General features: G+C 48.8%; 4 annotated features.

Annotated features, from left to right (window-relative positions):
• Positions 6,921-7,438: an enhancer, noted in NCBI's record as "H3K27ac-H3K4me1 hESC enhancer chr6:1594421-1594938 (GRCh37/hg19 assembly coordinates)". NCBI's record gives its function as "activates a minimal SCP1, AML or CMV promoter by ChIP-STARR-seq in naive H9 embryonic stem cells {active_cell/tissue: H9 hESC(naive)}" and the evidence as "EXISTENCE:reporter gene assay evidence [ECO:0000049][PMID:30033119]".
• Positions 8,643-9,196: an enhancer, noted in NCBI's record as "H3K4me1 hESC enhancer chr6:1596143-1596696 (GRCh37/hg19 assembly coordinates)". NCBI's record gives its function as "activates a minimal SCP1, AML or CMV promoter by ChIP-STARR-seq in naive H9 embryonic stem cells {active_cell/tissue: H9 hESC(naive)}" and the evidence as "EXISTENCE:reporter gene assay evidence [ECO:0000049][PMID:30033119]".
• Positions 9,073-9,122: an enhancer, noted in NCBI's record as "active region_23863". NCBI's record gives its function as "activates an Ori minimal core promoter by ATAC-STARR-seq in GM12878 lymphoblastoid cells {active_cell/tissue: GM12878}" and the evidence as "EXISTENCE:reporter gene assay evidence [ECO:0000049][PMID:35858748]".
• Positions 10,233-10,467: a silencer, noted in NCBI's record as "fragment chr6:1597733-1597967 (GRCh37/hg19 assembly coordinates)". NCBI's record gives its function as "represses an EF-1alpha promoter that drives an FKBP-Casp9 reporter gene in an ReSE screen in K562 erythroleukemia cells {active_cell/tissue: K562}" and the evidence as "EXISTENCE:reporter gene assay evidence [ECO:0000049][PMID:32094911]".

Genomic DNA, 14,406 nt, shown 5'->3' on the forward strand with positions numbered 1-14,406 from the left:
GCATATGAGTATGTGGTGTGTGAGAGTATGGGTGTATGTGAGTGTGCATGTGTGTAAGTTGTGTGCAAGTGTATTGGGTGTGTGTCTGCTTATGTGTGTGGGTTGGGTGTGCATGTGTGTATTCAAGTATTGGTGTGTGTGTGTATGTGTGAGAGAGAGAGATCTTCTGGGTGACTGGGCTAAGTGCTGAATTACCAGAGAACCGACGCCAACAAATTCAAATGAAGAATTTCTTTTTTCATTGATTCAAGAAAGGCTTAATAGCTCTGGCAGAAACTCTCCAGAAAAATTTACCTTTGGGCAGTCATGGCCCAGCACCAGACAAGAAAGCTTTCAGCCTCAAAGAATTTGGCAGAAAGTTATGAACAAGTGAATAAAGGAGCTGGAAATGAGACTCCATAGATCACTGCCACGAACCTGTTTGCTCCTGTTAACACCAGGCAGCGCCGGTTCTAGTCTTGACTCCGGCACAATTCCCCAGGCAGTGAGACTTGGCTCACCTGGCTTGGCAGCTGCAGCGTTACAACCCATGAAGGCTTTTGTGCGCTTATGTTAAGTGACCTTTATGGAAATATCATGTGCTGTCGACATCACAGGAAAACCCATATACTTATCCTAAAGCCATCTCCATGCAGAACCTTGCCTGCTCAGAATCAATCCCATGGTAACCCTTCCTGCAAAATATAGACCCACATCTAAGAGCAAGTTGTCCTGAGTTCATGGTAAGCGTTTGTAATGTTCCCGAACTTCCGCCAATCCACAATGTGGAAATTCACGTGAAAGTAAGGACATTTTCCAAAGAATATGTGGCCCCAAACTATCTGTGCCTGAATTATCAAGATAATGCGTGCTAATACCCGGCACTGCCTTGATTTATCTGATGACTCGACTCAAGTCTCCACGTCAGTCACACGTCATTAGTTCTCCAAATGAGCAAAATAAACAAGTCTAAAAGTTAAAAGTATGAAAGTGACTGTCTATCTACTCTATTTTGCCGAGTAGTTAATTGTTATTTCTTACTTGAGTCATCATCATCGATTTTTGTTTGTTGGTTGGTTTTTTTGTTTTTTGAAACGAGGTCTTGCTCTGTTGCCTAGGCTGCAATGCAGTGGCACAATCCCGGCTCACTGCGACCTCTGCCTCCTGGGTTCAAGCAATTCTCCTGCCTCAGCCTCCTGAGTAGCCAGGATTACAGGCGTACACCACAACACCTGGTTAACTTTTGTATTTTTAGTACAGACGGTGTTTCACCATGTTGGCCAATCTGGTCTGGAACCCCTGATCTCAAGTGATCTGCCTGCCTGGGCCTCCCAAAGTGCTGGGATTATAGGCGTGAGCCACCACGCCCAGCCCATCATTCATTGTTAACAAACATTTATCAAGTGTGTGTTCTGGGCCAGGTACTGAGAAGACAAAGATGAATAAGAAACAGATGTTGCCCGGCATTATAATTACAATGGGCAGTGAAGGCTATTTTCCTTCACTCTTACCACAAGGCCAATGCTGTACAAGGTGCTTTGCAATTTCATTTATTCCCCAACAATTATAGTCAATTCCATTCAAAAAATCTTTGTATGAAACATTGCCAGCAATATGAGAGTGATTGTTCAGAGCAAACCTTCAGTCTTCAAGCAGTGTTTGGTACAGAGTGGGTATTTGATAAACGGCAGCTGTAATTGTTACTGTTTACTTCTTTCAATTGGGACAGAAATTACATCTCACGGGCTGTCTCCTAGTACTCAGCACAGTGACTGGCACATAAGAGGCCTTTAACTACAATGCCATCATGTTTTCTCATGGACAGAGATGACTGATATGAAGTCTCAAATTGCGCAAAGTAAAAGAGGCACATTGAGAATTCATGACTCCCTTGATTGATTGGTTGATTGATTGACTCCCCTTCCAAAAGCCCATTTTAGAGCAATCTTTTAAACATACTATTATGATCTGGTGGCTGGGCATGTGACACTGTCCACACAAGACATATGAACAGGGAAGGAAAAGCCACAGCATTTCAACAATAGTCATTACAAGACTGGGATTGGCCGGCAGTGAACTTCGGCCAAGGCACTCCTGAAATCTTTGTGTTTGGTAACTGAGGTGGAGATGATTATCAACGCACCCAGAAAAGCAAGATCAAAGGGAAGTCACTACGAGTTTCTTTCTTCTCTTGGCAACTCCAGGTCTCATTCACCTGTGCACTGCCCACACCAGGCAGCGTCTGCTCCTCATCATGGTTAATAAATGCTTCTTACACAATCAGGCATGAGAGAGGAGCGTGTCCATTTCAGTGCCTGAAAACCAGGCAATGATCCCCTAATACCTACTTAAAGAGAAAAGAGAGCAACCATCACTTCACTTACGCAAGACAACGGGAGGGAATCTTTCATTTCATTGTGGCCGCCACCCTGCCTGCCCTCTATCCATGAGGGAAACAACACCAGAAACCAAGCACTGGGGCAGCACCTCAGCCTCGGACACTCCCTGTGTATTCTGTGCACCATCCATCCAGTCCTTATCGGGGTGTTTCCCAAAATAAGCCTAGAGAACACAAATCCAGGAGATCATCCCATGGTCAACTCTGTGAGACGCCTTCCATACCTTGTGATTTCAAAAGGTACATTAGCTGCTGAAGGCTCTGGAAAGGTCTGCAGCAGGAAACAATTCAACGTCGCTCATAATTCCCAAGTTTATACAATTGCATAACCCGTGTTGCTGGTTCTCTACGGCACTCAGCTTAGGGAATGGTGCCCTACGGGGGCAGCGTCATAATCTCACTTAGGAAAAAGTTGATAAACCTCCCTTTTCATGAAAATGTGAAAAGGCCACATGAAAGAGATCCTTTACGTGAAATATTTTTCCCTAATATAGCCCAAGAGGGCAAAAACGCCATCCCTAAGTGAAATTATCCTCTCCCCCAATTTGTTGAACATGCTCATATTCCTAGTTCAACGATGATGAAATGCTGGTCTTTAGGACATCCCAGAACTCTGTTATTGTTGGCAGGTAAATGAGGCTTAACACCAGGTCCTTCTGCACACCCAGGGATGCAGAAGGTGTTTGGTGGGTGATTTCCTTGATGGATGTAGAAAGACAACCTGGAGAGACAAGCTTGAAAGACTTCAAGGGGCAAGAAAAGTAAAGAGTTATTTCCCAAGTCATGTCTTCACCAACAAAACACTGTATAAATGCAATTAATTTTTTTAATGGTTTGACATTAGATAAGACCCAAAACTCACTTCCTAGGAGTTAACCATTATCCACAATCAACAGATCTTAAAAATGCACATTGGCTGCATCAATATATGATCAGCCCTCATGACCCACAGATTCCATATATGTAAATTGTTCTCCTAACTAAAACTTATTCGTAACTCCCAAATCAACCCTGGTGCTGCTTTCCCAGTTATTCGTGGACATGTGCTGAGCGGCAAAACGTTGGAGTTTCCTGATGTGCATGATCCTGGCTGACCATGCCACGCTCCAGCTCATGTGGTAAACACGCACCCTGTCCACAGCTGATTGAGTGCCCCATTTTCACGCTTGTGTTGGTGGTTTCAAGTCCAGGGTAGCCCCAAACACAGTGCTGAGCTATGTAGTGTTTCTGAGCACAGAAGGCGAGAAGCCAGGTGTGTCGGTGAAACTCCATTCAGGCACAAGTGCTGGTGGTGTCACTCTGAGTTTAATGTTCATGAATCAAAATCATATATTAAATATAGTGACCTTAAACAAGAACACACATAAAACAAAGTGTAGGTCAGGCATGGTGGCTCACGCCTATAATCCCAGCATTTTGGGAGGTCGAGGCAGGAGGATTGCATGAGCCCAGGAGTTTGAGACCAGCCTAGGCAATATAGTGAGCCATCATCTCTATGAAAAAAATTTTTTTTTTATTAGCCAGGCATGGTGGTGTGTGCCTGTAGTCCCAGCTACTCGGGAGGCTGAGGTGGGAGGATCACCTGAGCTTGGGAGACAGAGGCTGTAGTGAGCCATGATAGTGCCACTGCACTACAATCTGGGCAGCATAGTGAGTCCCTGTCTCAAGAAAAACAACAACAGAAAAAAAACTAACAAACAAAAACAAAGTGTAGTGGTCAGTGGACAAAAATGTGACCAGAGGCTTGCAGGAACCCAACCCTGTGCTTCTCCTAGGAGCAATGGCTCATGATGTGCTGAGTCAGTGTTCGTGGTGACTTTGCAGAACGTAACTACCGCGATCATGAGAATCAGGTGTTGTATTTGGATAGCAATGAACAAAGTTTCTGTCAAGAAAATGTCTTACAGAAGTTGAACAGGATGGTTTCAAGAAAGTGAACAGACTATGGGTGAGCCTGGGTGCTGTGAGATGCCAAACCTGGGGAAGAAAACAGAAGCCGTCATCCGGCTGCCAGGCATTCTTCCTCGGGCCCTTTCTGATAGGGCATGCAGGTAAATGTGCTATTTGCACTCAATCTGCAGCCAGTCTGTCAACCCTGTGTGTGACGCTGTCTTCTTTCTAATTCTTTCTCATTCTACCCTCAGCAGTTTTTTTTTTCAATTCCTAACAGAAACAACCAAATGATGCCCCAGATGCAAAACAGTATTCCCAGCAGGGTGGCTGCCATGCTAAAATATTGTTCTTTTCTCGGCTAATTTGTGGTCAAGATCTACTACATTCGAAACATCATGACAATAAAGTACGGCTGTAATCGCAAGCAGCTTTAGGAAGGTCTGCAGGCATCAGCAGACATTTTTCACACAGCAGTCTCCCCCTTTTCTCTAAAGAATTTTGGAGATCATTTCTGAATGAGGCCAGGCTCACCTAACAGTGGCTGCATCACCTGCAGCTGCGCCAGGCCAGGCCATGCAGCTTCCACTGACTTCAAGGAGAACTGGGCAACATGGCAGAGGGTCGAGTCCACACAGACAAAGCTCCTGGCAACATCAGTCATCACAGCTCAGCCATCATGGAACTCCACAAACACCAGCGTGGCCCACATTCAATTCTGGAGGACAAAAAGCTCAACATCTACAGTCCTACTTCCTTCCGGTATACTCTACCTACCCCTCTCCACACACACACACACACACACACACACACACACACACACACACACACACAGACAAAACATCCTCAGCAACATGGATCTTGCTTAATCTTTAATAAAATACAAGCTTCTTCCCATGCAGCCATAGAAAAGAATGAAATCATGTCCTCTGCAGCAACATGGATGGAGCTGGGGGCCATTACCCTAAGAAGCAGAAAATCAAATATCTTATGTTCTCACTTATGAATGGGAGCTAAACAATGGGCACACGTGGACATAAAGATGGAAATAATAGACATGGGAGACTCCAAAAGCGGAGAGGATGAGAGGAGGGGGAGGGGCAAAAATACCTATTGGGTACCATGTTCAATATTTGGGTGTTGGGTACATTGGAAGCCCAGTTCCCACCATGACACAACAGACCCATGTAACAAACATGCATGTGTACCCCGGAATTTAAAATAATTTTTAAATGTTTAACCCTAATATAATTGTGAGGAAATAATTTAACAAATCCAGATGGTGGCACATTCTACTAGACAGCTGATCTGGACTCTTCAAAAATATCAATAACATGAAAGACCACAAAAAGCAGGGGCTCATTCTAATCGATTTAAACAAAACTTAAATAACATGACAACTGAAAAAAGCATATGCATGCCCCTAGACTCAGCCCATGAGCAGAAGGTTGCAGCCAGGTAAGTCTGATTTTGAGGTATATTCAGTGGAAAAGACACTACAAGGAAAGCGCTTTCTGATCATCCCCCGCCCCCAGGTGCGGCATGCACAGTGCGTGATGTGATGATTCTGCGGCTAGAAAGGGGTACATTCATGGACTGAAAGAGCACATTTTTCCTTTGAACTAAGGAAAAGATCCTTGGGTGATGTTGAAGGCTGTGCGGAGTGTTTGTGAGGAGTGAGGCAATTCCCAGGGATTTTTCTTCTACAAACACACAACGGGGGTGAGAAAATCAGACACAAAGTCAGGCTTCATGAGGCTAAGGAAGAACTTTTCCTCCTTTAGCGAATTTTCTGGAAGCCCTGCCGAGGCTACCCCCACCCCATGAACGCATCCAATGCTTTTGGGAACCTGTGCTAATCTGTCGGGTTTCTGCATATCTCTTTGCCCAACCAAAGGGACCCCAGACCCTGCCACCTTTGTCCGGAAGAGCTGGCCTCGGAGGGACAGAGACTCTGAGCCTGCGTCCCAGGAAGAAAGTCACAGGTAGGAGCTTCGGGCCCCCTCGCTCTCCCCAGCAGCACCACCCACTGGCAAAGGACCCAGGTCTCTTTCTCCAAGGGACAGGGGGGTCGGGAAAAAGAAAAGACAAGACTCTCCTGTGGGAAAGAAACACATGTGAGGGTGCTGGAGGGTTTCCTTCCTTCTTCTGGAGTTTTAACAAAAATAGACTCTGGGATGAGGTTGTAGGACAAGGAAGTGCTCCCTTGCTTGACTGGTGTTCTTTCTGCCCTCACTGGAATCTGCTTGGCAGCCGAGGGCGGTGACGTTCCTGTAGCTTCCGTGGGGAATTCAGGTGCGTGTGTGTGCGCGTGTGTGTGCGTGTGTGTGATAAGCTGTTTTCATTTTACCATCCTAAAAAAAGAAAAAGTCAGACGAAGGCACAGAAAACGGCTGAGGAATTCCTGGCAAGGGCAGACTCACCCACTTACTAGCTTTCCGCTTAGCTTGCCACCGGGACACTTCGATAGTCCAGGAGACAAATCTGCTTCCTCTCTGGGGCTCTCCCGGTTGAGAGGTCGGCGGAGTTAGCCGTCATCTTTCCCTGTAGGTTCTGAGTCTATCAAGGTGCAGCCCAAATGCAGAGGAAGCTCCCGCACCCAGGGTTTCCCCTGGCGAGTGACCGAGCCCCTCTGACCAAACGCGCGCTCAGGCGCCTTATGGATCACACGGTTCCAATGGCCCGGGAGACAAGCAAACGTGCCAAGCGTGGGCTTCGATAGAATACTCGCCTCACCACCGTGGCACGGAGAGAAAGCCCTGATTTCTCTTTCATTCCTAAAGGGCTAGAATTCTGTCGTCTAAAACCTGCCTCATGGAAGCCCGTGGAAAAAACTGCCTGCGGAAGAGACGAGGTTGTGAGCGCTTATAGCACAGATGGAGCAGAGTGACCACAGCTGAGGGAAAACAATGAACTTTATGTTCTTCCAGAACAAATTACACACTCCCCCCAGCCCATAAAGGCTTTTTATGTAACTGCAGTCAGGCAATACCTGGGCAGGGAGCGACTGCGGGGGATCCCACATCCCTGCGCGGCTCTTGCCTCGGGCAGCCCCACCACGCCCCTCCCAGCACCCAGGGTGTCTCGGCCCTGCCCAGCCGGGACCCACCTCGCAGGCCCTTTTTCCCACCGGGATTCAGGCGTTTCATGCTGACTTGGGCCCTCGGGGGCCACGGGCCAAGGGAGGAGGGAGGGGCAGGCACCTCGCCATGGAAGCTGGTCTCTGGAGGAGCCCCCAGCCTGGCAGGGCGCTGGGTGAGACAGGTGGCTGGCCACCAGCCGTGGTGGCGAGGAACAGCGTGGGCTGCAGCGCCCTCACCATAACCGATGGCGACAACTGAGGCAGGCCCAGGACTTAGAAATTAGCATTCAAAATGTACAGCCTAAACACCCTGCACCAAAAGCCCAGCCTGCTCTCTAGGCGTTCCATCAGCCGTCCATGCTGAAATGTCCTTCAACCTCACCGCCCCCTGCAAGCCCTCCCGCTCTCCAGCCGTGCGCAGGCAGGCCACGGTCCCCCCCACCTGTGTCTCGTGTGACAACAAAGCAGAGGAGGAAAGGGAGGGGCTGAGCTTGTCACGGGGGGGTGGGGGCCTGCGACACAATAGCGCGCAGTCCTAGCTGCTTTATTGAGGATACTGTGTTGAATAAACCAATGACTAAGAGAGACGAAGGTGAGCTTTCTGTAATTCCCGGGAATCGTCGGAGGCAGTTACAAACATTTTGTTTTATCAGTTAATTTCACCCATCATGCCCCCTCGTGGGAACCACAATTGAGGTCTCTCCACAGGCTGTATTTTTAGGTGACGCACCCACATCTAAGGCAGCCAGGATGGTCGGAAAGTGTCTGCCAGCAGACTGGGGATCCCCAGGGGCCCCATCAGCCCAGGGCTGCTCCTCAGGATGGCCGCGGGGCCGTGCCGGCCGGGGCACACCAGGCCAGGGTGGGCGGCTGTTCCTGGACCCCAGCGGGCGTCTGCCTCCCCTACAGCGGGTCCGGGCACCCCGGGTCTACTTCCAGTTCAGAAGCGCAGCACTGAGTAGGGTGAGGTGGTCATGGCCCCTTCTTCTCTCAGTGAGCATCTGGACCCTGGGGGCCACGTGCCTCACACAGACTCTCCAGCAGCTGCCTAGGTGTGGATCGCTTTAGGAAACTCAGCTCCTAGCTCCCTAACTTCTGCACACACTCTTCCCTGAAATCACTGGGCCTGAGATTGCTCCTCGGGGCTCTCCTTCCCACCTCCCTCCGCGGGTGCCAGCCTGCACTTTGCAAACCACGGGGGGCTTGCACCTCCCCTGGCCCTCCTCCGCCTTCCCACCCTCTTCTCTCCCCGCCTCCACTACCCAAGTTTACCGTGGAGCACCAAAAGAACAGCTTGGTTTAGGGGGTCTTCTTTGAGGAGGGGTAACAACGGGGTCAATATTAATTTTGGAGATAATGTGAGCCACGCTGGCCAAGCACAGCCCTCAGCCCTTTCAGCAGAGCCGTGTGCTGCACACACATCTTCAGCTTTTCTGGGCCTCCGTTGCCTCTGGGTACATTTGGATTTGAAGCTGGAGAGAACCGAGCAGAAAGCAAGGAAAACGAAGTTCATCGAGGGCTTTTTGGCCCGCGGTAGGGGAACAGGCCCACCGAAGCACACCCCGGTTTCCCACAGTGACGTTCAGCTGCTCTCTCTCCCTCATGAGCTGGAGTCACGCTACGGACCCAGCCGTAAAGCCCTTGCGGTGTATTTCCACTCCAAATGTGGTAGGAAGGTCCTTGGCTTGCAAATGCTTTGTCCTAAGGCTCAAGGACTTCACCTGGCAAACACATCTCACCACCTTGCTGGTGCGAAACCGCCTGGGCTTTCACTCCAGCCGAGGCGAGGCATCTAAGTGCGCTTCTCCGGGTTGCCACTAGATGGCATCAGAGCTCCATCACGGTCCCTGCCCACCGGCGCCTCAACTCAGACTGGATTCCTGCTGGGGAAACCGAAAACAAAAGGAGGGGAGGGGGCGCGGGTGGGAAATAATTTGCCAATACTTTCTTATGAAGTTGAGAAATAACTAAAGCCACCGGTTCCAGTCTTGAAAACCAAGGCCCATTGGCAGTGGGTTATCAGAACTTACTAACTTTAGAGTCACTGAAGTTGGTATACAATGCCCCACTGTTAAATTGGTAAATAATCCAAACAAACAAACACAAAAAACAAGGTCCAATTCTAGCTTATTTGGAATCATAAGAGAACACCATGCATTAAACCCATAGCAACTAAGTTTGCAACAAATAAGTACAAAAGATGGAAGCTCTCTTTAATTTGTAGCCCCAAATAAAATGCCACTGATCGCATCCAGCATGTCTGAAACAGGCTAGTAAATAACGGATTTTTAAAAGCAATTTCTTTTCTGTAGACGCTGATGGACAAGAAAGCTCATCTTGGCTGGAGTTGAACATGGGGAACTTCTTGGTTCCTCTCACTCTTTCCTATTCTCAGAGCCTCTCTTCTGTTTAAGACATCACCTAAGATCCCAGGCTCCTCCTCCCCCTGTTACAATGTGCAGAGTGAAGTTCCAATAGTCAACTTGCCAAGAGACAAGGCTTCATGAAAATTCTCCCCCTGGGAAAGCCAGAGTCATTTGCCCTGGAGGCTCACAGGGACACACACACACACACAACCAGCCCAGAAAAAACAAAAGAACAGCCCTCAACCCTCCTTACCAGCCCCCTCCCCCCAGCTCCAGTTCTGGCCCCTTCCCTGCCTCTGCACCTCCCCACGATAAGCCCCAGAGATAAGATTATGCCAGGTGACAAGGGAAATCCACACTCCCGAAGACTGTGCCCCTAACTATCCCCCCCATCCTCATGTTAATTCTCAGTGCCTTCATTTTGTGAATCAGCAAATGTTATATAAATGATTTACCATTTAAAGGTGCGATAACATCAGACCAGAGGGAGATAAGGGGCTTTGTGTGACACTTGAAGCCATGGTGTTGGGAGTCACGGAGGCTTTCCTTCTCTGGCTTCCCAGGGCTTTAGGCCCCTTGTTTATCTCTTCCTCTCACCAAATTACTTCGGGCCATTTACACGTCTCCTTCCCCCACCAGCTCAGCTTCCTTCTCTTCCCACGCCTTCTGTGAGGCTCTCTGCCTGTCCCACCGCTGGTCCCATGCTTATTGGTGGGGATTTCTCAGAGGCTTCTCTGGATGTGTTCTGAGCTCTCAAATGGCAAACAGTGTTTTTCCAAATTCTGTTTTCCCACTGTGTAATTTTAAAACCTACACAATCATACAAGCATCACCCCCTGACCTCGGCCATCATTTTTATTTTGCATTTTCTTTAACATTCTCCATCCAAATGAATCCATCTGCAGCTCGCCATTCCAGGCTTTGCAAAGTCCTCATTCTTCTTTTTTGGTGTGATCCCATTAAGTTGATGTTTTTAGTAGTGGACATCTAGTTGGCTTAAAATATTTCACTGTTGAAAGCCTCACTTGTGTTTAACATCGAACTCACACTGGAGTAAACTAGTATGATATGCATGTTAGTCATTTATGCATATTTACAAATCTAAATATCTGTTGCGACATATAAAGGATGACTTTTCCTAGACTTCATAGCTCCCTTTGTTTCAAACTATGATGCAATTTTTTCTGAAGCTCATTGAGACGGCTTATACACAAACTATGATGGGGGAGAGGCACAGGCAGGTGCTCTGAGGGGAAGACTTCCTTGGCCCTGCAGGCATCTGAGCCTCTCCCAGCCATGCTGCCCGCCTCTGTCTGCGGCTTCTTTCCTTAGCAGAGTGAGACGCGAACACACGGCTCCCGGCAGCATGGGGACCCTTCGACTCTCGCGACAGAACCATAACTTCAGAGCCCCACCACACTCTCTCACTTGCGGTTTATCCTCGTGTTTTAATTTCCTGTATTTACAGTTTTTCTCAAAGGCATTCCGAAGGTTCTCCATTGAATCATCTCACTAAAACCCCTCTTAAAAGACAGCTCAAACGTCTAAGTTATAAGAGATAGATATGATTCATTCCTTTGAGAAAAAATAAACTGAGGCACAGCTAAGCCCGTCGTGCCCCTGGGCCTGATGGGCCGGCGGGGCCTTGCACTGCCTGGTCTAACCTGTGGCTGCTGGTGACCAGGCTGTGTCCCCCGGACCTCCTCGGCCTTCAATGGAGGAAGGTCAGATTTCTCAGTCAGATTTTGCTTGGAGAGCCCAGCTATTTCGTTCCATTGAAATAATTGGAGAAGTTCTTTTTTCCACAGGCATCCTGCCTGCACTTCATCGTGTGTATTATTTTGGATTTGCTTCAGAAAGAAAAATGGCCTTTCACGGCGTTTACGGAATGTGGGCAGAAATTGGACCGGGCAGACATAGAGCTCCGCACAGAGATGGAAAATATTCAGGGTGAACACGCACACTCGACACCCACGCTCCCGCAGAGAAGCGAGCCCCAGCGCTGGCCCCACACCTGAGTGCCTCCTCCGCCGGAGACCCGCCAGCGGCCAGGCAGCCTCTGCTCCCCAGGCCGGCCTCCGCACCTGCTTTATCCGCCCTTGGGTGGCTGCGATAGGAAGGTCCAGAAGTTTCCTGCCCGTGTGCACTAAAGTGCTCCGTGTGCCTGCGCCCCGGGACCCACCTGCGGAGGCCTGGAGAGGCCCAGCCAGCCCAGTCTCCTCTGCACCTGAGGAAAGGAAGCGGCTGCCCCTAGAACGGAGGAGCTGGCTGAGAAGCTCAAATCCTGGGACCGCCCCCTGCCCCCCTCCAAGTTCTGGATGCCAGTGGGTGCGGGTTTCCCCTGCTGTCTTCACCAGAGGGGCCTTCTCTACGCCACCTCCTCCCTCTGTCCCTTCTCCTCCCCAGGGCCCAGGGTCTCTAATGAAGGAAACGATTACGTCAAAGCAATCAGCACCGAAGTTTCAGAGAGGTCCTGTATCTTTTAAAACAGAAAGGACAGAAGGCGTCTCAAGCTGCAGCCAGAAGGTCCGCAATCCAGCCAGCAGACGCCAAGGGACGCTCTGTGCATGGCCATCCCGGGGGTTTCAGAGGCATCACCAAACAGGGGAAGGGGAGCTTCCCTGCGACGTCTCTCCCTGTCACACAGTTTGCTCCCTATGGTCATCAATGAGCCCTTCCAAATATGAGGGAATTTGCACCACAGTCCTCGTGCTTCCTCAGAGAAGGTCGTCGCAGTAAAAGGCCCATCACACTCTTTCTTCACAGTTCTGGACTCTGATCTCTTTTCTGATGCCACCCCCATTCTGTCTTCTATCCCTCCACATCCACCTAATGTCAAACTTTAAAAATAATGCATATTAAATGGCCAGCAATTGGTCACCTGGGGGAAGATGAATTGAGGCCATCCAGGGACACACCAGAGTGAACCCTCAAAATTCCAGAAACTCTTCCTAAGAGAAAGAAATTATGCATCCATCATTTTCTTTTTGCCCCAAATGTAGACACAACATTTGTTTGCCTGGTGGATAAAACTGAAAGTTATGCTAATATTGGAAACCCAGATCTGGGCATATCAGAGAAATTTGTTTTTAAAGGGACATTGCTAAGGACTTTGAATCCAGCACTTGACCTGTATTTCATATTACTCTGATCTAGTCGGGGATGCCTTCTAGGTTCTAAATGCTTAATTGGAAAATGTCTGGCACAGCCAGAAAATAAAGCCCAACTCTCCTTTTATGAGATTTACAGCAGACTGTCAACACCATCTGATAATTGAATCTCCTTGAAATCGGCAGAGCTATAGAGATATCATCAGGAAAGCTGATGTACAAACAAGCAAGAAGAAAAAAAAAGAATTAGAAAAACTGATTTTACTCCATTTAATGCATAATCAAGGGAAATGCAAAATTTGCCCAACTAAGGAGAAAGAGAAATACGAGGTATAGTTTTCTCAAGCTTTGTTTAGAAGCAAAAGGATCCCTCCACTACACTCCAGCCTGGGTCACTAAGACACACACACACACACACACACACACACACACACTCTCTCTCTCTCTCTCTCTATATATATATACACACACACACACACATATATGTATTTCCATATATATATGGAAATATTATTGTCATGCATTAGCTCTTTTAAAATATCCAAAGACAACCTGAAATGAACAAAGCAGGAGGACCTGGGTGAGTCTGAGCCCATTCCAGAAAAAAACAGTTGGCAGCAGTAAGAGTGGTGTTTACTAGAAAATTAACCTACTTCCAGCAGACAGTAGACAATGTGACTGATATTAAACAAAATGCGTGGATGTGTTTGCCTTGATGTTCGAAGGGTGGAGCTGCATCTGTTTTCCTATTATGTAAAACCCCTGCCCCGCTCCTGCCAAAACATTCTCCCAGTGACACGTCTGCCCGCCTCTGGATGCGTTCCTTACTAAAACAAATACGCCTAACACCGCATCTTTGATAGCAAATGCTCACAAAGGCAAACAATGAAAACTCCTAGGGTGCGTTTCTTGGGATGGCACCGGGCACCATGCGGAATTGCCACACACAAAAGCAAAACAGTGCTCCTGGCTGACTGGGCCAGGCCCCAGAGGTCAGCAACTTTTAGTAACTTGCTCTTTCTCGGCGAGTAACTAATTTCCCCCGCTCTGGGCATCCCGCAGTCCTTCCCTAAGAAGTCACTCTGTGTGTAGATGTTGTCTCTTTGAGGAGAGTGATAACTACTCAAGCAAACCATTCTTATAAGCGCACACTCTCACGAATAAAAGGAGAGTGTCTCATGGACGATACTGGCACCCTATAAAAGTGCAATTCAGCCTTATCTAATCTGGTGCGTGTTTCATCACAGGGACATGCAATAATGGCAGCCTTTGTGCTGAAGGAAGAAGGAAAAGCTCTCACGCGCGGGCGAGGTGGCGGGGGTCTGTGACCCGGCCCGGACTTTGTGCCCAGCTCTCAGTGAGGACTTCGCGGTCCTGGGGCCAGTAGGTGAGAAAATGATGGATGGGCCGGGTGGGCGACGGCAGGAACGGCCTGGAGAAGGCTTCCTCCTCCCATCTGCTCAGGAAGGACCTCAGCGCCAGACTAAACACAGGCCGGCGCGGCTGCGGTGTGCGAGCTCGCGCGCCGGCCGCCGGCCTTTAAAAGCACCTTCCTGCGCACGACGGGGAGACACCGGGAGA

The sequence above is a fragment of the Homo sapiens genome, chromosome 6 (assembly GCF_000001405.40).
Source record: "Homo sapiens chromosome 6, GRCh38.p14 Primary Assembly".
Lineage (NCBI taxonomy): Eukaryota > Metazoa > Chordata > Mammalia > Primates > Hominidae > Homo > Homo sapiens.